The sequence below is a fragment of the Homo sapiens genome, chromosome 2 (genome assembly GCF_000001405.40).
Source record: "Homo sapiens chromosome 2, GRCh38.p14 Primary Assembly".
In the NCBI taxonomy this organism is placed as follows: domain Eukaryota; kingdom Metazoa; phylum Chordata; class Mammalia; order Primates; family Hominidae; genus Homo; species Homo sapiens.
The window spans coordinates 231287898-231313165 of record NC_000002.12 but is presented as its reverse complement, the minus strand read 5'-3'; the positions used below and the strand labels follow the sequence as shown (position 1 = coordinate 231313165).

Here is a 25268-nt window from a genome sequence, read left to right as displayed (position 1 = left end):
TAAAGCAAATGAATTCCACAATAGATGAACCCAAAACTGACAGAATTGAAAGGGAAAATAGGCAAATTCACAATTTAGTTGGAGATTTCTATACTCCTCTCTTAGTAACTGGTAGAATGAGTAGACAGAAAAAAACACTAAGGATATAGAATAGACCTGGGCATATAACAGGTGCTTGATACATATTTGTTAAATAGATGAATTCTAGCCAAGTCAGTTTTTACAACATTCCCAGAGCTTGATCCACTCGGGAGAACTAGGAGGAAACAAAAAAGCAAGCCTGAACCGAATGTATACTATACACCCAAGGCACTCTGTTCAGGATAATATACAGATTAGTTCATTGAGTCCTTACAATACTACTTTTTTGTTAGAAAAAGAATGGTAACGTTTCTGAAATTAAGAACTGAGGATAGAGCGTGGTAAGGCCAGGGTAGTATAAGACTGAAATAGCCAGCTGGCTTTTCCCACCTAGTAAGGGCCAACATAAATGTCAGTTTTGATCACCAAAACTCTAACTTCAATTGGAAAAAAAAATCTTAGATTTTGCAAAAAAAAAAAAAAAAAGTGTGTGAAACTGTAAAAGGCTGTTTTGCACACAAAGACTATCTTCAAACGGTTTGTTCGGAGAAGAATCTCCCTGTAGCAGACTGTTTAACCGCCACAAACTCCTGCCATCCTGGCAAGGACATCCTTTTGCTATGTGGCTTTGCCACTCATCCCATGCAGGGAAGGGTCTATTTTTCTAATCCTTTGAGACTGGGCTGGCCTTGTGACTTTGACAGTAGAATTTGGCAGAAATGAGGCCCTGAGAATTCTGGAGCCTCAGCCTCAAGAGGACTGGAAGCTTCCAACTTCAACCTCTTGGAACTCAGAGATGCCCAGTTCCAGCTCACTGGAGGAGTGAAGTCACGTGGCGGAGAACTGAGGCACACTGCACTGGCAGCCTGCACCAACTGCCAAACCACCTCGAACCTTCCGGCCCAGCTGACATCCAGCCGAATGAAGCCACATGAGTAAGTCCAGGTGAAACCAGCAGAGGACCTGCCAAGCCAACCCACAGAATTGGGAGGAAAATATTATTGTTTTTTAAGCCACTAAGATTTGGGGTAGTTTTTTGGGGGTTAGCAAACATAACATTGATCAAATGAGCCAGACACATGAGTATATTATACTGAATAACTCCATTTATATAAATTTCAAGAAGAGGTCAAGAACTTGAGGGGGTGGGTGGTGTCTGAATTACATAGGTATATGCACTTTGTGAAAATTCTCCAGGCTGGGATTGGGTGAATCTGCCTTCTTACATTCCTCTGAAGGGATGAAGGGATTCTCTGCGGAAAGGAACCATCAGAACCCCTGCACAATATTTTTTTTTTTTTTTTTTTTTTTTTTGGCGATGGAGTCTTACTTTGTCACCCAGGCTAGAGTGTAGTGGCACGATCTCGGCTCACTGAGAACTCCACCTCCCGGATTCAAGCGATTCTCACTCCTCAGCCTCCAGGGTAGCTGAGATTACAGGCGCATGCCACCACACCTGGCTAATTTTTGTACTTTTAGTAGAGACGGTGTTTCACCATGTTGGCCAGGCTGGTCTCGAACTCCTGACCTCAAGTGATCCGCCTGCCTTGGCCTCCCAAAGTGCTGGGATTATAGGCGTGAGCAACTGCGCCCAGCAGAACCCCTGCACAGTGTTCTATACGGGGCACATGCTCAGTCAGCAAATACCTACCCCACCATTGGTATGTGCCAAGTGCTGTGCCGGTAGTGAGGAGCCTCTGGAGAACCACACTGATACGGCCCTGTCCCAGCAGCACTTACAATTCACTAACACAGAATAAAAGGTAGTGTGAATAGCAGCAAAAGAAAAAAAAATGACTCCACCAGGAAAGAGGATATGAAAATAAATGCCAGAAAGTAGCACACAGCCGGCTGCAAAGTGAGCTGCATAGCAAATTCTCTGCAGTGTCCCTCCCCACACAGCAACATTAACTTTCACTATGCTTCTGTCTTTTTCTATTTTTATTTTTATTTTTTTGAGACACAGTCTTGCTCTGTCACCCAGGCTGGGGTGCAATGGCACAAATTTCAGCTCTCTGAAGCCTCAACCTCTTGGGCTCAAGCGATCTTCCCATCTCAGCCTCCCAAGTAGCTGGGACTACAGTTACGCACAAGCACACTTAGCTAATTTTTAAATTTTTTGTAGAGATGAGGTCTCATCATGTTGCCCAGGCTGGTCTCAAACTCCTGGGCTCAAGCGATCCTCCCACCTCAGCCTCCCAAAGTGCTGGGATTACAAGCATGAGTCACTGTGCCTGGCCTGCTTTTCTGTCTTTCTATTTTAAGTGAACTTACTCTGCTTTTCCCCTTAAAGATTGGACTGCCCCTAGCAGCAGATCACAGCTTACCTTTTTTTTTTTTATCTTTTGAGACGGAGTTTCACTCGTTGCCCAGGCTGGAGTGCAATGGCACAATCTCGGCTCACTGCAACCTCCGTTCCCCCCTACCCCGGGTTCAAGCGATTCTCCTGCCTCAGCCTCCCAAGTAGCTGGGATTACAGGCATGCACCACCACACCTGGCTAATTTTTGTATTTTTAGTTGAGATGGGGTTTCTCCATGTTGGTCAGGCTGGTCGTGAACTCCCGACCTCAGGTGATCCGCCCACCTCGGCCTCCCAAAGTGCTGGGATTACAGGCGTGAGCCATTGCACCCGCCCATAGCTTAACTTTACCTTTTTTTTTTTTTTGAGATGGAGTTTCACTCTTGTTGCCCAGGCTGGAGTGCAATGGCGCGATCTCGGCTCACTGCAACCTTGCCTCCCGGGTTCAAGCAATTCAATTCTCCTGCCTCAGCCTCCTGGGTAGCTGGGATTACAGGCATGTGCCACCATGCCTGCCTAATTTTGTAGTTTTAGTTGAGACGGGGTTTCTCCATGTTGGTCAGGCTGGTCGCGAACTCCCGACCTCAGGTGATCCTCCCGCCTCAGCCTCCCAAAGTGCTGGGATTACAGGCGTGAGCCACCGCGCCCGGCCCCATAGCTGAACTTTAATACACCATGCCTAACAAATGCTTAATGAATGACTATCAGTTAGTTATGTAGTCCTCGTCACTCCACTAAACCGAGTATGGTGCATTGCTTACTTGCTCACGATTAACAGAAAATTGCTTCTATTTCTATGTTTTCTATAACAGACATGCTCCATATTTTACATAACATGGATGGCACACAGAATTTAGATATAAAATGGCTCAATTTGAGTAAACAGACCCTGAGCTCTTAAAACCAAGCAGCGATGCAAGCCAAGAACCTTGGTCAGGATAGTATAAGACTGAAATAATTAGTTGGATTTTCCCACTTGCTAAGGTTCAGCATAAACATCAGTTTTGATCACTTAAACTCTAACTTCAATTGGAAAAAACATCTTAGATTTTGCAAAAAAAAAAAATTGTAAAAAGTGGTATATGGCCTGTTGTCCTTCCAACTTCAGAATTCAAGACATCTATGCCCTAGATGCCTCGAATTCTGAAGTTGCAAGGAACAGCAGGCCATACACATTTTTTCTCCAGTCATATTTCTAGACCCAGACGCTAAGCATTTCATCTTTGAATACCAAGTGATAGTGATTTGATCAAATGGATAGAAACGTATTTATTTATTAAATAAATATTGTAAAATGAAATAATGTAGAATGCATTTATTTATCAAATAATGAAAAACTAGAAATATGCTTCACTACATAAAATGTACTATTATTCCCAAATTCCGTGATAACAGGAAAAACTCATCACTGCTTTGGTAAAATTTTTAAAAAATCAGATAAGAGAGAAAACCTTTTCTGCACCTGTTTCCAAGGCAACCGATGTTGGACAAATAGGGTTTATAAATGCCTAGGAATCATGAGGTGTCTACAAGCCCTCACCTTGTTTTGAGCCATCGGATGTCTATTTCCATAGAAACCAGAGTGGAAATGAGGGCAGGAGCCATGAGTCAGCCTGCTGGGTGGTGCATCCCAGCCAGGGTCTGAGAGCACACGAGCAGTGTTGCAGAAATAAACGAATTTAGAAGCTGAAAAGGTACCAGAAAGAAGCAAAAGCCTTAATTGGGAAACACTGGTTTCTTTATTGACTTGGTTAAATAATGGAAAGGTCCTGCAAGTAACACAGACATAAGACAGACACTTCTTTACTCATTAGGTAACGGGGATTAGAAGCGTAGCCTGTGCCACGCCAAGCGAGCTGGCCATGCCAAGCGAGCTGGCCACGATGGGTGACCCATCAGAGGTGACTGATTCATGGAGAGCAGCTAGCCTCTGGCTCTCTGGACATGCACCTAGAAGCAGCTTCAAGTGGGTCCACAATCTCACAGGTCACGTATGAAGGTGGCCGAAGAGAAAGGAGGCCCCAAACCCTCAACAGTATGTCTCTGCGTATGGAATGCAAAGTCACCTGGAGGAAGGCTGGTCAGGAACTGTCTGGTTCTATGCCCTATCATTTTCCGTTCTAGCCACATCATCTTGTTGTGCCTCCTGACACGTGCAAAATCTAGTTTCGCCCTACACATGATCTGCTCTTACCCCCAGCCTGTGTTCCCCGTATTGTTAATGGCATCGCTATCCTCCCAGCTACCTAGGGTCCAAGGTTACCAGCCTTTGGTTACTCATGTCATGCCTCCTGAGTTCCCAACTCCTGCAGGTCCCACCTCCAGGAGCACCCTCTGCCATCAGCCAAGCTCAGCCCCACTCCCGCTGCAGCCTGCAGGCTCTCACGCCAGCCTGGGCTTAAATCTCTGTCCCACCAGCTACTGCCTTGGGACCCTAGACAAGTTTCTGAACCTCTCTGAACTTTGGTTTTCTTATCCATAAAATGGGGCTAAGAATAGCACACACCTGGCAGAAGGGTGAGGGGAATACACGGGAGAAAGCCAGGGAAGCTCTTGGCCCATGCCTGCACACGGAAGCACTGGGAAAATACTGGCTGTGTTGCCGCACTAAGCTCTTCCGGTCCCCAGTGAACTTGAACACTGATGCCAGAGTAGTCCTCTGAAGGCATGGCTCTGCTCACGTCTCTTGGGCTCACAAATCTTCAGTGAGTGTCCACTCTTTACTGTCTGGCTCCAATTCATCCTTCCAGCTTTGTCTCCCACCCTTGCCCTCCATACTCCCTGAGCTGTGGCCAAAGTGAACCCCCCTTGGTTAGCATCAGGCTGGTGCCTTGGCTCCTGCTGCTCCTCAGCTGGGATGTCACCTGCTCTGCAGTTTCAATCTGGAACCTATGCTTGAACACCTCTCTTATTTGCTAAGTTTCTTCCTTTAGTTTTTAATAAAAGTTCCTTTTGAAAGACTTCAGTTTTTGTCAATTGGGCTGAATAACAAGGGGAGCAATGTCAACGTTATGGCCAGATGCCTGGTGGCAGTCAACTGTCCCTGCTCTGGAACCTGGTTGACAGCAATGATGGGATAAAGGAAGTGGGAAAACCAAGAAGGGGGGTTTGGGGCCATGTAAGGTCCCTGGAACTCCTTCAGGCCCAGAGTCCATTTCCGAGAGGAGAGGGAGATGAGACTAGATATTCAGTGAGGCCAGGCTGTGGAGGTTTCATGTTTTAGCCATGTCTTCCATTCCCTCTACGCTGATGCTTTGATTGGAGCTTGCCTGGCCCTGGAGGGACTGCCCCTTCCAGAACTAGTCAGCTCTTAGGAATATTAAAACATTTGCCCCCAAGTGTGCTTTCCAAATACAAATCAACCAATCCAGAGCTCACACCCCAACCATCTCCTTTATTGGGCTCTTACACGCCTGGCCATTATCCACCTGCCCTAATCACCCCAGGGCTAGGTGCCAGACAAGTAGGGAAAGCCCCTTTGCTCGAGAGCCCACTGAAATTCATCCAAACGAAACAGTCCTCAGCATGCTTATGCCACCTCACCTATACTTACCCCTCTCTCAGCCTCTTGCTCCACCCCAGTGCTTCCTTGTGTGACTCCCTGTGGTGTGGCACGCCCCTGCCCCTGGGGCACTGTGAGCAGCAAACTGTCTTTTCCATGGAGCAGAGCTGTTCCCAGGCAAAATTGAGATGGAGAGGGGAGAACACCAGGGCAAGGGAAAGGAAAACCAGGGGCACCTTGAGGTTTGCACTGGAGCCCTCTGGAGAGGCACTCTCAGAGGAACTCAATGATCCAGCCCTGAGCACCATCCTTGGGCCAGACACCCTAGAGCTCCACATCCGTGCTAAGGCCACCTGTGGCTCTGGTCAAGAAGGGAAGGAAGAATAAGATTATAAAACTCTTGCTTTGTGTTAAGCTTCACTGTCGCTTCCCCTGTTGTTCAAGACTCACTGCCCAGATCCTCTGTGTGGATTACAAGTCCCATGTTGTTTCTTATTGTCTCCTTGCCTGAGTTCTATTTTTTTTTTTTCCTCCTTGCCTGAGTTCTTAGGCCTCACTTGGAAGATCTTGTTACTCTTGACTGCTTGGACAATTAGCTTGTTCCTATCTTGTTCAGCCCATCTTCTTGAATTTAACTTCTTGCTCTCGAGATGTATACAAGTTCCATGCCCCGGTCTAGCTAGTTCTGATTGCACTTTGTTGGATCTGTCATGCTGTGTTTCATTACAATTCCATTATAGCACTAATGTGACCAACAGCCACATTTTTCTATTTCTTGTCTCAAATTCTAAGAAAAGTATCGATTTGGCCATTATACTGTTCTAACTCTACCAATTAGCTTCTTCAAATGATTCACATTTGAATTTATTCACATTGGATTATTCTCCAAATGATTCTGGATATTAAAAAAAGGTGGCAATGACTCAAGTCTTTATGTATCAGGTATTTAAATTAGATTTGAAGCACAGTATAAAAAGGCCTCAAAACAATGGAGACATACTATGCTCATGGTATAAAACACTCAAATTGATTTATAGATTTAATGTAGTCCCAATCAAAATCCCAACTAGTGGCAAGAAGGAGGGAAGTAATAAGGGAGGGAAAGTTCTCTGACTCATGGAAGGGAGGAATCTATTCCAAAGAAGCTGGATGAAACTGCCAGTAAAAAATAAATATGATGAAAGCTGTCTTTCCCTCAGTTTTACAGATGTCAATAATTTACCTTATTGTAACTTATGTAACAGAATATATTTAACTATGTCAGTTAAGTTGGAGTGTAAACGTCAGTTAAGTTGGAGTGCAATTTTGAGACCAATCATTCGGAGTTTAATGAAAAAGAATTTGACTATTTAAACAAGATGAGTTTGTTTAAATATTGATGAGTGATGAGTTTATTTAAATCGTGATGAGTTCTTTAAAAGTGAGAAATTGAACATTTGTTTTTTATCACTTTTCAAACTAGAAATTAAAAAGCCACTGCAGCTGTATGATGGGTAGACAGGAATCCTCTCTACTATTTTTTTTCTGTAAATCTAAAATTATTCTCCCCCCACCACCCAAAATTTTAAAACACGGCCAGTAAAGAACCTTGCAGGGTAGGTAAGTTATATTGCCTTCGCTAGAGAAACACACACGATAGCCTTGTACAGCTGCCACTGCTGAATGCCTGCTGGATGGAAAGTTACAAAAGAAATCACATTAGTGTCACTTTCCAATGAAACAATAGCCTGTCGAATTAAAGATGAAGCTGTAAACGTGAATGCTGAGTTAATATCTCATCTGCAGAACTACGCCTGGATTTGTTATTTTGCTTGTAATCTTCCAGTATCAACAGTCACTAATCACAAAGATCTCTTATGTAAATACTTGGCAACGAAGCACAAGTAATACTGGCTGAAATACTTAAAGTGTTGGATGCTTTACTGACTTTCATGGTTTATCCTGGAACAAATGCATTGACATTTCCACTCATGATACAAAAGCAATGATGGGTAAAACCACTGGTGCCTTAGCACAAACCAAGGCAGCGATCTCAAACTCTAGTAGCAGTCACTGTATTTCACCATAGATAAATACGGGGATGATGATAGATGATAGATGACAGGTAGATAGAGTTTCATTTAAGGCTGTCCTTGATGAACTGGTAGGAATTAATTTTATTAACTCTTAACCCTTATGGCCCATCTTTTGGAATGTACAGGCAGATAAAGCAGTACTGCTATACTAAAGCGGATGGTTATCTTCAGGAATGGGACTTGTGAGATAAAGTTGCAAGCCACTTTTTTCAAGGAACACCATTTTCATTTGAAAGAGTAACTGACAGACTATGGTTATTTAGACTTAAGTATACAGCAGATGTCTTCTCAAAAATTAATGAAGTGAGCCTGTCACTTTAAGGAAAACAACCAATAGTATTTGTCAGCAATAATACAATTTAAACTTTCAAGAAAAAATGAGAATTTTGAGAAACCTATATCTGCCATTGTGAGCTCAATAGCTTCCCAATACCTAAAGGCTTTTCTGATGCTATTGGTGTTGATAATACACAATTTCTTATGTTATATAATAAAATGTATCAACATTTGGGGCTGGGCACAGTGGCTCACACCTGTAATCCCAGCACTTTGGGAGGACGAGGTGGGCAGATCACCTGAGGTCAGGAGTTCAAGATCAGCCTGGCCAACATAGTGAAGCCCTGTCTCTACTAAAAATACAAAAAATTAGCCAGGCGTGGTGGCACATGCCTGTAACCCAGCTACTTGGGAGGCTGAGGCAAAAGAACCACTTGAACCCAGGAGGCGGAGGTTGCAGCTGGCCGAGAGATGGCACCATTGCACTCCAGCCTGGGCGATAGAGTGAGACTTCGTCTCAAACAAACAAAAAATTTGGAAAAACTGTAAAACTTGGTAAGCCAATATTTTCCAAATGATCAATGAATTATAATACAAAATCCTGCATGGGTAAAAGAGCTATTGAAAATATGAAACAGGCAGGATGCCAGTAGAAATTGGGAAGTAAGAAAAGCAATATGATAATAATAATGATTATTATTATTATTGAGATGCAGTCTCTGTTGCCAGGCTGGAGTGCAGTGGCGCGATCTCGGCTCACTGCAACCTCTGCCTCCTGGGCTCAAGCAATTCTCCTGCCTTTGTCTCCGGAGTAGCTGGGACTACAGGCGTGCGCCACCACACCCAGCTAACTTTTGTATTTTCAGTAGAGATGGGGTTTTACCATGTTGGCCAGGATGGTCTTGATCTCTTGACCCAGTGATCCATCCACCTTGGCCTCCCAAAGTGCTGAGATTACAGGCGTGAGCCACCACGCCTGGCCATAATTATTTTTTTGAGACTGAGTCTCGCTCTGTTGCCCAGTCTGGAGTGCAGTAGCGCAATCTCGGCTCACTGCAACCTCCACCTCCCAGGTTCAAGCAATTTTCATGCCTCAGCCTCTGAGTAGCTAGGATTACAAGCATGCACCATCACACCCGGCTAATTTTTGTATTTTAGTAGAAATGGGGTTTCATCATGTTGGCCAGGCTGGTCTTGAACTCCTGGCCTCAGGTGATCCACCGGCCTTAGCCTCCCAAAATGCTGGGATTACAGGCATGAGCCACCGCACCTGGTCTGAAAGTCAATATAAATAAATACACCATATCAGTAGTATGAAAGGGAAAAAATCAAAGAATGATCATCTCATATGATGAAGAAAAAGCATTTAACAAAACCCAACACTCAGCAAACTAGGAACAGAGGGAAACTTTCTTAATCTTATAATCAGATCTATGAAAAAATCCCAGCTAACGCTGTACTAGATGGAGAAGGACTGAAAACATTCACTGTAAGATCAGGAACAAGCAAAAGATGCCTGCTCTCTCCACTTCTATTTGGCATTGTACTAGAGTCTCTAGCCAGCACAATCAGGCAAGGCAAGAAAATAAAGGATAGCTAGATTGAAAAGGAAGTAAAATGATCTCTATTCACAGATGACACAATCTTGTTATACAGAAAATCCTAAGGAATTCAAAACAAAACAAAACAAAACAAAACAACCCAAACAAACCCAAAACCCACAACAAACAAAAAACTCTTTGAGCTAATAAATTCAGTAAGGTTGTAGGATACAAGTTCAATATTCTAAAATCAATTGTATTTCTATACATTAGCACATCTGATTGTTAGGGAACAATCAGAAAATCAAATTAACAAAATGCAAAATAGATCAATAGATTTTAATTAACAAGATAAAAATGACTATTTACTTATTTATTTATTTTTTTGAGACGGAGTCTCGCTCCGTCACCCAGGCTGGAGTGCAGTGGTGTGATCTTGGCTCACTGCAATCTCCGCATCCCGGGTTCAGGCGATTCTCCCACCTCAGCCTCCAGAGTAGCTGAGATTACAGGCGCACACCACGATGCCCAGCTAATTTTTGTATTTTTGGTAGAGACAGGGTTTCACCATGTTGGCCAGGCTGGTCTCAAAACTCCTGACCTCAGGTGATCCACCCACCTGGGGCTCCGAAAGTGCTGAGATTACAGGCGTGAGCCACTGCACCCAGCCAATAAAAATGATATTTAAAATTGGTTTCTAATTCCACATTGCAACTAACTTTTAATAAACTATTACCTGTCTGGTTTTAAAGTAATATTGAGCAAAAATATCTATCTGAAAAGGCTTTGAAAATACTTCACCCCTTTCCAAGTACACAGGTGTGTGAGGCTAGATTTTCTTTATGTCCTTCAATCAAAACAACATATGACAACAGATACAGCCCAGATCAAACTGTGTTTTTCTGATCCAGACATTAAAGAGATTGGCAAAAAAAAAAAAAAAAAAAAAAAAACAAACCCACAATGCTACACTTTTTCATAAAATTTTGTTTTGAAAAATAATTCTTTTTCATAAGAATATCTTATTTATATTAATGTAATGGATTTACTATTGCCATTTTAAGTTATTTAATATTTTAATATTTAACATTTTATCATATTTAAGTTCTCATTTAAAAAATTTTGATAGACAAAATACTCATTAACTCTTCAGAATCTTCAGTAATTTTTAAGAATGTAAATGGCTCCTGAAACCAAAAATTGGAGAATGGTTACTTCAAACCTTATATAAACATATATGTTTTTCTTTCCTATGCATAACATATTTAATGACTACAACTTAGATGAAAAAATTAAAATCTTAAAAGAAAACCTAGGAGACTACATGTAAAATTTAGGGTTAGGGAAGACCTTAACCAGGACAGGAGACCCAGGAACTATAAAATAAAAGCGAATATATTTAACTTTTTTTTTTTGAGATGGAGTCTTGCTCTGCCCAGGCTGGAGTGCAGCGGCGTGATGTTGGATCACTGCAACCTCCACCTCCCGGGTTCAAATGATTCTTGCGCCTCAGACTACCGAGTAGCTTGGATTACAGGTGTGCACCACCACGCCCAGCTGATTTTTGTATTTTTAGTAGAGACAGGGTTTCACCATGTTGGCCAGGGTGGTCTTGAACTCCTGGCCTCAGGTGATGTGCCTGTTTTGGCCTCTCAAATTGCTGGGATTCAGGCGTGAGCCACCACATCCCGCCTCAATCTTTAACTTAAAAAAAATTTTAAAAAAGATTTGTGGCAAAAGAGATTAGAAAAAATATATCTTTAAAACATTTGTAATGATGGTGAAAAGGGTTTGGAAAGAAGCACAACTGAAAAAAACAGAAAGGATATGAAATTGGAAATGTACAATGTAGCAAATCCAAATCCAGATTGGCAAAAACATTAAAAAAAAATAGAGTAACAGCACCTATTGCTAGTGGAGATGGAGGGAAGAGGCTCCTTCATGTTCTCCTAGTGAAATCTGAATTATTAACAGCCTTTGAAAAGAGCAATCTGGAAAAATCTATTATTAAAAAAATACTTTTTCATCCAGCAGCAAGAGCCCATATAAATAAAAGCCCTGGTAAATAAGGATATTTTTACAAAGATTTTACTACAGCATTGTTTGAAATAGCAAAAAATCTAGAAAATTATACATTCATAGCATTAAAAAGTATCAACTTGCTACACTGCCTAACTCAGAAGGACTTTCAAGAAACATTAACAAGAGAAAAAGGCAACATGGTGTAGAAGTATGTGTATTTCTATCTCTATGTTATCTCATTTTGAAAAACAAATACTGACAAAAGTATATATGGATCTGTGTGTAGTACATACCTCCGTGTACTCTGTGTGTGCATCTTTTAAGTATGAAAGCGCATGCACACACTAGATCACTAACATGGGTTTCTTGGGGGGGTTGATGTGAGTGCAGTGGAGAGGCAAAGGATAAAGCTTATGCTTGTGCTGTCTCCCCCAGAGGATGCCACCCCTGCTGGCCACACCCTTCCCTTCCTCAACTCATCTCACTTCCTCTTTACCCCACGCCAGCCATCTCCCAGTATTCCTGGAGTACTTGGAATTTCTGTGGCACTTCCTGTGTCTATCACCTTTATGAATCTGTGATCACATATTTATTTTCTGTTATTTGCTATTTTGCATTCATGTATGTCTCACAAGAAGGTAATATAGGGCAGTGGTTAGGAGCATGGACCACTGAGTCAGACCACCTGGATTTGAATCCCAGCCCCATCACAGTTACTTATTAGCTGTGTGAACTTGGCAAGTGACCTATTTTCTCTCTGTCTCTTCATCTGTGAAATGTGAATAAAAATAGCACCTACCACAGGGCTGCTAAGAAGAGGAGATGACTGAACACCCATAAGGCGCCTAGAACAGTGCCTGGCACCCGGCACTGCCAGCAGGCGGGAGCTGCTGTTGTCAGAATCACTGTGATCTTCCCTATCTAGGCTGGAAATTCTTGGAGGTATTTTAAACCACAGATACTCTTTTAGATTTCTTTTGCATCCCTTCCCCATTAGTTCCTACAATAGTGTTATTTCGAGGCCCTCAAATATTTGTTGAGTAAATATATGAGCAACTCTTAGATCTGAGCACTTTGTATAGAAGGAAATTGCTGAGCATACGATTGGCACTTACATGGCAACCAGCAAGTAAATGTCCACGGCTGACCTCACCTGGCACTTAAACCTATTTTGTCAAGAGGCGAGAATATTTGTCTTAAAATCAGTCTTCTAGAATAGCACAGGAAGGTCTTGCATTTCTACTTAAGGAAGCCATACAAGGAAACTGGCTGTGATATATAGTAAGGAAACCTGAGTCACTGGGGGTGAGAACAACGGAACCAGGCTCCTAAGCTTAGTGATTTACCAACAGCCCTTTTGTAACATATTACGTCTGTTTCATATAAAATAAATGCATCAGGTAACACATTTCTCTGAAGTGCTAAATGAGATGCATTTGAATCCTTAAATAACAGCTGTCATTGTCCATTCCCTGGGGTGTATTGTCCAAGCTGATCTAATGATGGTTTTGTTTCTCTGGAGGTTTAAATGGGTCTGGGGCTTTGTGGGCCAAGAAAGTATAAGTGGTTTAGAAAACAATGAAAACACCCATATTTTCAATGCCATCCTGTAGACTCTTCCTGCCTTGAATGTTCCAGCTCTCCCTCTCGGCTGGAGCTACTCCATCAGCATTTTAACATGCTCAGGTTTCTCTCATCTTAAAACAAACAAAAATGCCCCCTTCAGCCACTATTGCTCTTCTGTGCACAGCCAGACTGGGCGAGGAGCAGCATACACTTCTTAAGCCATTTTCTCACTTCCCACCTGGCCCTCAATCCATTCATTTCGCTTTTGCTCCATCAACCCACAAAAATGCACAGCAACTGACTTCCACGCCACTAAACCCCGTGTCCTAGTCTCACTTCTCTCTCTTGAGGAGCCTCAGGGCCTCTCTGCATTTTTCACCCAAACTTCCTTATTCCTATTCCCCCCTTGCAGTTTATAATGTCAGCAAAGAGGGCGTACATGTCCACACCTTTCCGCTACATAGGCACATACATAATCCATAGCCCTGTGTCTTTATACATTTGCTTTTTCCGAAATTATTGGTCAAATTACTTTATGATTTCCTTTTTCTATTTGACATTATATCCTAGACAGTCTATAAATCAGAAGATGCATTTCTAGCTCTACCTTTATTTTTTTTAAAATTTTAGTATATAAACGTATGTATATTCAGACATAACTTTGTTAGGTTAGCACATTAGATCAAGTCATTATAAATTACAGAGAAAAACGAGACTTTGCATCAGGGGTTCTCTTGAGAGTTTCCAGTGAAGCAGGGATAGCAGTGGTGGAAGTTGTGAGCGCACAGATTTCAGCTCAATGTGATTTAGAGTGAGCATAATTTACCCTGGTCTCAGGCCCCATCCCACTACAGCCCCCCACTTTTTTTGAGATGGGGTCTTGCTTTGTTGCCTAGGCTGGAGTGCACTGGCAGGATCTTAGCTCACTGCAGCCTCCGCCTCCCAGGTTCAGGTGATTCTCGTGCCTCAGCTTCCCTAGTAGCTGGGATTACAGGCGCACGCCACCATGAACCAGCTAATTTTTGTATTTTTAGTAGAGATGGGGTTTCACCATGTGGGCCAGGCTGGTCTCAAGTGATCCGCCCACCTCGGCCTCCCAAAGTGTTGAGATTGCAGGTGTGAGCCACCGTGCCTGGCCCCATTAGAACCATTTTATCTTTAGAGTTGCTAAGCAGCTAACTGAAAACAGTGGTTTCATTTTTCTGTGTTTTGGGTCTAAATATTAAATGAAAGAACATTTACACTGCTAAGCAAGATAAGGTATGACTCCAACACCTTGCAAATAATTTTGCTGTCTCCTTCAGAGCTGTCACCTTGGGAAGTGATAACCACATTCCAACAACAGTGCTACTTCTCAAAGGATTCTTAGAAATTTTCTTTAGCCTAAGATCTGTCACTCTCTTTTTTCCCTCCAACTTTGAAAGACAGTTATAAACGTAATGCTAGCCTCCGGTGAAAGCTGAGTAAAATCCAGGCAAGACCGGCTGTGCCCGGACTGCCCCGGCTGGCACCGGTGATGCGCAGTGAGGCTTACCTGGGAGAAGGAGCCCCCATCTGCTGCCCGGGGTTCATCACAGAGTCCCATTTGGCCCAAATGACAGATCTTTTCCTTATAATTTTCCAACTAAACCTCTTCTAGAAATCTTCTGAAAATTCTAGTTATCACAAGTATTTTCAAACATCAACCTCTTAAAAGAGTAGCAAAAGTCCAGAAAATTATAAGACTTCTGTATTTGTTCATTTACAGTAGACAATTGCTTTCAGAATGAAATTTCCAGAAATTGAGTTCTCATCATTAACTAGAACAGTTGAACAAAATGAATTTTCCCTTATAAGATAAAAACAGGATTTATAGCAAAAACAAAGCAAAATGAAAAACCAAAGCAAACCGAAAAACCCAAAGGGATGATACAAGAAGGGAAGAAAACAGATCTCGAGACAAACTTTAGGACACAATGAAAAAAAGTTGTTAAAAACAAATAATTAAATATTAATTTAAACTATCATTTAGAATGATATTGAAGGGCCAGGCACAAAGGTGGTGACTCATTATAATCAAGAGAAGGCTGCCCAAGTCCGGGAACTGCCTAGGGGCTGGCAAACAATGGCCCACGAGTCAGGTGCCTGCTTTCCTATGCTCGCCAGCTAAGAATGATTTTTGTGTTTTTAAGTATTTGAAAGAATATTTAATGACATGCAAAAATTGTATGAAATTCAAATTTTTAGCGTCCATAAATAGTTTTACAGGAACACAGCCACGTTCAGCCACTTATGTACTGCTGACAGCCACCGTGTTACAATGGCAGAATTGAGTGGTTGGAACAGAGACTGTGTGGCCTGCAAGCCCTAAAATAGTTCCTATCTTTTCCTTTACACAAAGTGTCTGCCGACTCCTGTTCTAAACCCAATTTTACCACCATCAACTCTCTGTGTGAGCTCAAGCTGGTGTTTTTCCCTCTGCCTCCACCTTTGTAAACAAAGGGGCCTGGAGAAGATGATAGGGGCCAGGACCCCTATCTGGAGGTCAAGCTCTGCACTGCTGGACAAGGCAGGAAGAGCCAGCAGGAGCACGTACCCGCTGATGCCACCTGCAGCCTGTGAAGAAAACGGCAGCCACAGAGGCCGCCTGCTGAGGAAGCATCTCCCAGCAGATCTTAGCAGATCCTCTCTGGCAGGGGCTCTTAAATACCTCTTTCCCAACTGATGCCATCAGTGATCAAAAACCTGGCTTTTACACATTTTACAAGCTGATAGGCCACGACTCCAAACAAAAAAACATCCTCTGACATCCACTTTTTCAGTGAATGCTCCCCCCAAAATAGATGAAAATGTTCCAGCATTCACTGCAGGAGTAACTGCTCCCTGCAAATGAAGGCAGGCAAATCAAGGATGACCAGAGGGGACAACAGGTCTTTTCTTCCTAGGTATCTGAAGGAAAACCATGTAAAATCTTGTCATCTGAAAATCCAACTACAGTCCCTGAGTCACCATTCTTTACATCATTTCAGAGACTCGCATACATTAACTTCTAAACCTTCATGCTCTAAAACACCAGGCAAGTAGATTTTTCACAGCTGAGGAAACACAAGTCAAAAGAATGCAAATAACAGAGAAAACTGGTCAGTTCCGTTAGCTCTGAACTAAACCCAGGACCCCTCACGCCAGAGACTCTCGCCAGGCGCCTACACGCCCAGCACTCCCACCGGTGAGGAAGACAGGCCGAGGCTCGTGCCCCTTCAGAGCAAAAGCTCACACAGAAGAATGGTCATTGTTCAGCTTCCCATGAAACTCGAATGACATGCAATGCTGCGTCTCTGCTGTGAACCCAATGAGTGTGGGAGTCTTCAAACATGGCCGCTGGGCTCCCCACATGAGACCCCAAGTGAGACCCGAACCACCACCCAGCTGAGCTTTAGCCAACCCTCAGAATTGTGAGAAATAGTGTAGCAGGAATGAAAAATCTCCATTTCTGGACTAACTTGTCAAGGCAGGAAAGAGAGAATAGTTTGGTATGGGTTTTCTATGTGGTGTCAAGAACCTCCAACTTACTTCATCATCTTCATCTTCATCATCATCAGATTCAAGAACACCATCTGGTAGCTCTTCTATAAAGAAAAAAAGAATCAATGAATAATGGATAAACAGTGGGAGCCTTGGTCCACAGAATCTGTCAGCCTCTGCAGAGACATAAACACCTTAATGAGAATGAGGTTACATCAAAGTCATCATGCTCCTAACCATCCTAATCACAACCATTTCAGTCACTGTCTGAGATCATCCTAAGCAATTTTAAATAGTAAATCTCTCCATTTTTACCAGAACATGATTATAGTAGCATGGGGAAAATTAAAAGCCAGCATATAATTTTAGGGGAATTTAGGGAAAAGTAAGTAAATATTTATTTCAAGGCATCATGCTAGATTCTGCCATACCCGTTATTTCACTTAATCCTTACAAATATGTTGTTGACTATTATCCCCCATTTTACAGAGAGGCACAGAGAGGAAAGAGAGACTTCTTGGTCTCACTTCCAGTAAGTGGCAGGCAGCTGAGATTCAAGCCGAGTCTATCTCTAAACTCCATGATTTTTCCACGGGCGGTATGGGTGGTGGTCATGGCAGGTAGGGTTCCTGAAGGCTCTGTGGTTCATCGCTAGGTCTTTTTAAGAATTTACAAAAGAGCAGTAAGTTGGTAGCACAAAGGAGTTACAGAAAGAAAGAGCCCCGGCTTCCTCCTCTGTAGAATGGGGGTTGTACCAGCCACTTCTCAGGGTTGTCGGTAGGACCTCACAATACACCACAAGGGAAGCGCCCGGCTTAGGGCCAGGTAAGAAGCAGGCACTGCAGAGGTGTTGGTACTTTCTCCTCCACGAAGTCTTCCCTGATCCCCTTGCTCAGCAGCCATCTCTTCCTCCCCGAACACACTCAGCGTTTTATCTAGAACTCCTGACAGTTCACGCCACTTCTGGAAGATTGCTGCTTACTAATGAATGAATGCTTACTGACTCGTCTCTCACCCACTGCACTGAACTGTGAGTCCCTGGGGACAGAGCAGCTGACTTACTCCTCCCTCTATCCCTACTACATCTTTCTTATTATCACTTGTTTCTTGAACAAATGACATGAAGGTAAAGAAAGCCTGAAAGAAGAAAGGAAGTCAAATGGGAAGTAGGAGAAAAGAAGGAACTAAAGCCATACTTGAGGAGAGCACCCAGCTTGTAAAGTGGCAGGCAGGGTGCACCCACATTTGATCAAACACCAAACCATTCCCAGGAGGGAAGATGTAGAAACCCATGTTCTCAACCCAACGCTCGTTCTAAAGGGAAGGACTCCACTGACTTCACTGGACCGAGGCCAGTGGGACACCAAAGTGTCCCCCTGCTCACTGAGGCTTGCATGCCCCACGGGTCGCAGCACTGTTGTGGAATGCCATTTAGTCTAGAAAGCTACTGTGCAGGCATGAAGATGTGATGCCACTCTGCTTTCTGGCTGAAGTTTAATGACTAACTTCCCTATCCACCAACAGCATACACCATTCCACCTTCAGGAAGTGCTGCTGTACTCATCAGTTATAAACCGCTCATTTTCGAATACAGAAATGCCTTTTTTAAGACTCTTGGCTATTTTGTAAGGCCACAGACAGCCCAGCCACGCTTCTCTTTCTCTGCCTCCTCCTGCCCAGCTCCCCTTCTCCTGACCCCATAACCTCAAGGCCTGCTGGCTCAGACTCATCCCACTACCCAGAATAATCCTGTCCTGAGAAGTGAAGTGCCTTGTAGACCTCAGCTCCTTTCTGGGATGACTATCTCCCATCCTGTTCCCTGAGTTGGTCCACACTCCATGAGGTGCCCGCACTCCGATATCTAACACACGTGGGGCTAGAATGGCCAGTATCATTCCTTTCCCGGGGGCTCTGCCTTGCTCCTGCCCAGTGACCTGGCTGGTGCCCCTGTTGTCTCTCTGGTGCTGGTTCCCCTCCCTGAGGGCTGGCATTGTGGTCCAGGCCCAAGCCAGGGGACAAATCTCTCTGCTGTTGCTGTTGGCAGCTCACCCGGCGTTGTCAATGTCACCAGCTGGAATTTTCCTTTAGGCTTTGCCAGAATAGTCCTTCCCCACCTGTGGGGTTAGGTCGCTAAAATATACTTGAATTTTAATACTTGAAGACCTTAAAACTTTACTGGAAAAATTGTGCTAGAAGACTGTGATTGGACTTGGACGTGTGAAAACCCACAGAGATGTTTTCAAGTTTACTGAAATAGAACAAGGAAACCAATAATCTAAATAAAGATGGTGGCAATGCCATTTCACACATCTTAAGAACTGATACACTAGCAACAATTTGTACTCTGCTATTAATTTCCACTTGAGGATGAAGACAGGATGGAGGCTCTCCTCCTGGGTTTCACTTTGATTTGATGCTGGTGATGGATGTCCCGAGGTACTTGTGTGTCTGGTCTTCCATCTGAATGTTCAATCACTGTAAAATTTTGTTTCAAAGTGGCGGGCTCCTGCCGCTGTCCTATGGATACAGAATAACTTAGGTGCTTGAGATAGAAAGATAAATACTTTAGGCCCTCTTTATTTAAACAGTAACTTACTGAACTAAGTAGGTATTTCCCAAGCCTTCCAGAATGCCCAGGGTTAGAAGGTTTAGCTCTGCCCAACACAATTTCTTCCAGAGACATCCCTTACAAAAGTGTAAATTGTCCCCTTATCCCACTCTAGCAGGCTGGTCCAAGGGCAAGGCTTATAAAAGAGAAAAAGATGTTTTTTGGGCCAGAGAGTAAAGGGGGCCTGCACCCTGCTTCTTGGCTGCCAGGAAGGAGGGAAGACAAGGAGACAGATGTATCTCAGTGGACTAAAACACACAGGTGGCCTTGAAGAAGATTCTCAGGCTGAATGCAGAGAACTCCTGGCCTGGGAGGGCTGGGCACAGCTGATGACTATGGCGCGGATGTGCAACAATCCTCCGCCCCCACACCGTGGCCTACCCAGAGAAGGCAGGAGAGCAACCTCAGGCAGCACTGAGGTTCAGGTCTTATTTTTATTTTTTTCAATATGCCAGAATGAGGGCTGAGAGTCAGAAATGAAGTTACTGCAAAAAATAAAGTTCTAATTTTTGCCCACCTGAATTTGGGATGAATTATAGCTGTTCCATACAACCCAAAGAAGAGATATTCAAGGCAAATGGGCACCCAGCCTAAAAAGGACAAAGGTTTCAAAGCTCCCTGGCTGCTCTCCTCAGCTGCCTCCTTTTGATCGGGAGCCCCTTGGACACCCTCGTTTCTGCGACCCAGGCAGTGAGGCTCTGCCCTTGGCTGCACATGAGACCCCAACTGGGAGCTTGAAATCCCCTCTCTGAGAGGTTCTGATTTAATTTGTGTGGGGTACAGTCTTAAAGATTTAAACATCTCCCCAGGTGACCGCCCTGTACAGCCAGACTGTGAACCCTGAGCTAGAAGAAAGGCCACCTGGGGGCTTCTGGCCTTGGCCAAGCAGCTCTCTTGAGACTCACTCTTCACTTTCTGCTCGTGTGCAGAAGGGATTCACGCATGTGACTTGCAGGGATGTGGACTGCTGGGTGTCAGGGAAGGGCATGGAGAGAGACTCAGTGACAAACCTGGCCCCGGATTCCAGCAGTGCTTGGTACCTCTGGCAGGTGAATGATGTCAGGAGTCCACAGAAACAGCCGAAGAGCTTTCCCTACCACCTCTGCCCCATCCCAGGCTTCCTGGCCTTCCTCTCTCCTGCTTACTATGGGATGTGGGTTGTTATGGTAATGGAGGAGGCTGGATAGAATGAGGACCACATTGCCTCCTTCCACACTGCAGTTGGCAACATCAGTTTTTCTGCAGTGAATGAATAAAAGTGGGAAAATGATGAAGTTTCTTACAGTGGCATTTGCTTTCATTATCTGACCCCAGGACCCTGGGGAAGCCACCTTAATAGTGGGGCAGGATTTAGGAGGGGAAAGGGAGAGGCCACATAAAGAGAACTTACAAGGTTAGGGGAGGGTTTCTGTAATTGCTTCTAAGTTCTTTTTGTTGACTATATGCCTAGAGTACGATAAGAGATTGTTAATCTTTGGACAATCTGGCCTTGACTACCTGGCGGAACTTTTTTTTTTTTTTTTTTTGAGAAGGAGTTTCGCTCTGTCGCCCAGGCTGGAGTGCAATGGCGCAATCTCGGCTCACTACAACCTCCGCCTCCCAGGTTCAAGCGATTCTCCTGCCTCAGCCTCCTGAGTAGCTGGGACTACAGGCATGCGCCACCACGCCTGGCTAATTTTGCATTTTTAGTAGAGACGGGGTTTCACCATGTTGGTAAGGCTGGTCTCGAACTCCTGACCTCAAGTGATCTGCCTGCCTCGGCCTCTCAAAGTGCTGGGATTACAGGTGTGAACCACCACGCTCAGCCTACCTGGCTGAACTTTTGTCTATGGGTTCACTTGGGTCTCCCCACCTTCCTAAAGGCCTCTTTTTTTTTTTTGAGATGGAGTCTCGCTCTGTCACCTAGGCTGGAGTGCAGTGGTGCAATCTCGGCTCACTGCAACTTCTGCCTCCTGGGTTCAAGCGATTCTCCTGTCTCAGCCTCCTGAGTAGCTGGGACTACAGGCCAAGCCACCACACCTGGCTAATTTTTGTATTTTTAGTAGAGACAGCGTTTCACCATATTGGCCAGGCTGGTCTCGAACTCCTGACCTCGTGATCCACCCACCTCGGCCTCCCAAAGTGCTGGGATTATAAGCACGAGCCACCGTGCCCGGCTTCCTAAAGGCCTCTTGAATGAAATGCCATGTGTCTTTCTGGCAAATGTGAATAATTCAAAAGATAGATCAAAGATTCTTGCATCAAACTGACCGGAATTTAGCTGCTTGATGATGAATTCTATCTGGCGGATCATTTCAGCATTGCCTTCTTTGATGAAGCAGCGTAGGATGTCTTCCATTCCCTAGAAGTATTGGCGAAAGTAATAGTTAACATTTCAGTGTCTGGAGGGAAACTACTTTTCAATGAGGTCATCTCATCTAATCCAAAAAATAATGTTTTGGGGAGAGGAAGAGGATACCTTGGGTGGGGGACAGAGAAGAGGAGACAGATATGTTTAAGAGATAGATACAAAAATTCAACTCTCCCAGCAGGGCAGGGCCAAGGCAGTCATTGGTTGGTAACTATCTCTTTGGCAAGACAAACCTGGCCAAGTGTCCAACTGGTCCCACAAGGGCAGAAGGAAAAATCCTTGGCTTATACTAAACATTCATTTTATCCTTTTCATAATTCATAGTGAAATAATTTTCTTTTTATTGACTCTCTGGCTGAATTATAACACATTTAGCAAAAAAAAAAAAAAAAACTATTGTAAAATTTTACTGCACAATATTGCCTTAAGTTTTGGCAATATGTTGGTCTGGGAGCTAGTTTTTTTTTTCCTGTGTTTTCCCTAAATTTATAAACTGTCTTCTGGATTTTAGGGCCAAATATGATCATTGAGAAGTGAAACCATATGCTTAGAGAAGTAAATGAATAGAACCTCTCTTTAAACAGATTTCATTCCTTTTCTATTAAAAGAATTATAAAGTCACTACACTATACATTGTTTATTATAATACCCTGATGCCAGAATTTTCAATATTGGGTAAAAGAATTCCAGGGAAAAGTAGGGATAATATACTGACTTAAGCACACTGTCTAATTCCTTTCCCTCCTCTTCCCTGGCAGGATTTGAATGAGTCCATACAGCTTGAGCTGACGAGGCCTCTAACCACTGTGAGGGGAAAGTGCTTCTAATAATGATCTCAAAACAGAGGAAGTGGAGTCCAGAAGTACTGCCAGAGAAACGGATCTAGTGGCATGTAAGCCCCTGATCAAACTGTGCCTGAACATTTTCCTGGACTTTTCAGTTACATGAGCCAACAAGTTCTCTTTTTATGTAGGCCAGTTTGGAATCAATAGCTCTAACTGAATTAAAGAAATGCCAAGTGCAGCTTTGAACATGCTGAGTTCTTATCATCCAAAACAGAGCACTACCTTCTAGAAAAGTTAAATCAGTATTGTAATTGCAATTAGCTCCCCCATGAATTTAATGTGTGACCTCACTCAAATCACTCAACTTCATCTAGCCTGTTTCTTCAACTATAAACATGAGGATAACAATTTGAGTTGACTTGAAATTTTTAAAAGACAAAGTGTATAACTGGTTGTTGGTATGCAGATATACACATTCGTCAAGATGTACTAAACTCCCCCATGTAAGGCCTGTGCTTTTCACTGTTTGTAAATTATACCTGAAGAAATAGCCTCTAGTCCAATGGCTGGCACAGAGTGGATGCTTGATAAATGGTCAAGATTGTGCTTGCTGTGTCCAGTAGGGGTTCGTGGCTCAGGAGAGAGATCTGGTAGCTGAAGCAAAGGGAAGAAACAAGGTTCCCCAGTGATGGCAGTGAGAGAAGAGCAGAGGGTTAGGATAGAACCTTAGGGAACAGTAACACTGAGCTGGGAGGCAGAGATGGGTAAGCTCACAGAGGAGGAGGTGACAATCTGGAAGGGAGGAAGAACTCTGGAAAGTTGTCCATGAGTTGAGGGACCAGCAGTGCCCAGGCTCCTGCGGGACCAGTTGGACACCTGGCCAGGCTTGTCGTACCAGAGAGACAGTTACCAACCAATGACTGCCTTGGCCCTGCACTGCTGGGAGAGCTGAATTTTATATCTATCTCACAAATGTGTCTCTCCTCTCTTCTCCATCCCCCACTCAATGTAAGGGCCACAGGAAGGAGAAAGTTATCAAGCAAAAAGCAGTGTGATAAGCCCCTTTTAAAAATTTTTACTTATTTATTTTTTGAGATGGAGTCTTGCTCTATCACTCAGGCTGGAGTGCAGTGGCACGATCTCTGATCACTGCAACCTCCAACTCCAAGACTCAAGTGACTCTCCTACCTTAGCCTCCCAAGTAGCTGGGACTACAGGCATGTGCCACCATGCCTGACTAATTTTTGTATTTTTTGTAGAGATGGGGTTTCACCATGTCACCCAGGCTGGTCTCGAACTCCTGGGCTCAAGTAGTCTTCCTACCTCAGCCTCCCAAAGTGGTGGGATTACAGGTGTGAGTTGTGTGCCCAGCCAAAATATCATGTATTTTTAAAAAATCACATATATTAGGTAATATTTGATCTAAATTATAGAAAGAAGTCATAGAACAACCACATCTTATCCTGAAAGTAATAACTTGTCATTTCAGATAATTTAGGTCAGGTAACAATGTCCAGGAAGACAGAAGGATAATAAAAGGTCCTAGTGAATAATCCAGATGCATAAAAATGGGAATACAAGCAGTGTGCAAAAAGTAAATAAGGAACTCCTGCTCCTTCCAGCTAGCTATCATTAAAGACTACCATAAAGATAATCATAGAGAAGCCTGTGTTTGTATATATAGTGTTAAAGAAAACAATTTGTCATGTGCAGATGTCTGACTAGGTGAAAGTCCCAAGTCTGGAGTGATACTGCAGCACAGGTGCAGAGGGCTCTGGAGTCAAACCACGGTGCGTAGCCCCTCGCCGGCCGTGTGGCCCTGGGCAGAGGATTTCACCTTTCAGCCTTGATGTTGTCAGCAGCAAAATGGGCACAACCGCAGTCACTCCTTCAGGGGACCTTTGAGGGATTAAATGAGAGAAAGCATCTCTTCCAGAGCCTGACAACACGCACTGAACACTACACAGAACAACTAACTTCGAACTCACTTCTACTTTTACTCAACAACTGAACTCTCTAGCGCATTCTATCGTTCCAGCTTCACAGTCTAATCCTCTATCACTAAAGGTCTTCAAGGGAAATTTTCCCCTGAGAAATTCAAATATCTATTTCAGGTAGATATAAATATTTTCCTCTAGTTATGAAAGTGACACAAGTTCTGTATAGAAAACTTGCAAACAACATAAAAGAAAGAATAAAAATTACTCACAGGCCCCCCACCCAGAGATAATTGGGAACATTCTGAAGTATTTCCTTCCTTTTATGTACATTGTTTTACGTAACTCAGAATATACTGATAATATGTTGCTTCTTATTTAACTTTATGATCATTTTCATGTTCAATAAAAATCTTATAAACTACATTTTCATAGCTATAATAATAATAATAGCAGCTAACATCTCAATGCTTACTGCACGCTAGGCAATCTTCTAAATATATTATGAGCTCCTTCAATGCTTTCAATCCTATGAGTTTGGTACTGCAATAATCCTCATCTTACAGATGGAAAAACGATCACACTGAGAGCTTCAGTTGTCACTAGCCAACTAGGAAGTGGTGGAACACGATTCGAAGCCAGCCTCAGGCTCAGGAGTACCCACTCTCAACTACTCTACCTTCCGGCCTCTGTTCTTAGTCACTCCCTCATGTTAGGTCTTGTC

General features: G+C 43.5%; 1 protein-coding gene across 10 annotated transcripts in view, besides 1 other annotated feature; it reads right to left on the bottom strand.

Annotated features, from left to right (window-relative positions):
• ARMC9 (armadillo repeat containing 9) overlaps positions 1 to 25268 on the bottom strand; it is a 178218-nt gene that overhangs the window by 63683 nt on the left and 89267 nt on the right. For 9 of the 10 annotated variants that reach the window (NM_001271466.4, NM_001352754.2, NM_001352755.2 and 6 more), the window contains 2 exons: positions 21723 to 21813; positions 16913 to 16968 (listed from right to left, as the gene is read on the bottom strand). In NM_001271466.4, coding sequence (NP_001258395.2) covers positions 16913 to 16968; positions 21723 to 21813 — 147 coding nt within the window. Of the gene's footprint in view, positions 1 to 16912; positions 16969 to 21722; positions 21814 to 23146; positions 24507 to 25268 lie in introns of all 10 variants that reach the window. The other variant, NR_148040.2, reaches the window with a different exon arrangement.
• Positions 1794 to 1843: an enhancer, noted in NCBI's record as "active region_17280". NCBI's record gives its function as "activates an Ori minimal core promoter by ATAC-STARR-seq in GM12878 lymphoblastoid cells {active_cell/tissue: GM12878}" and the evidence as "EXISTENCE:reporter gene assay evidence [ECO:0000049][PMID:35858748]".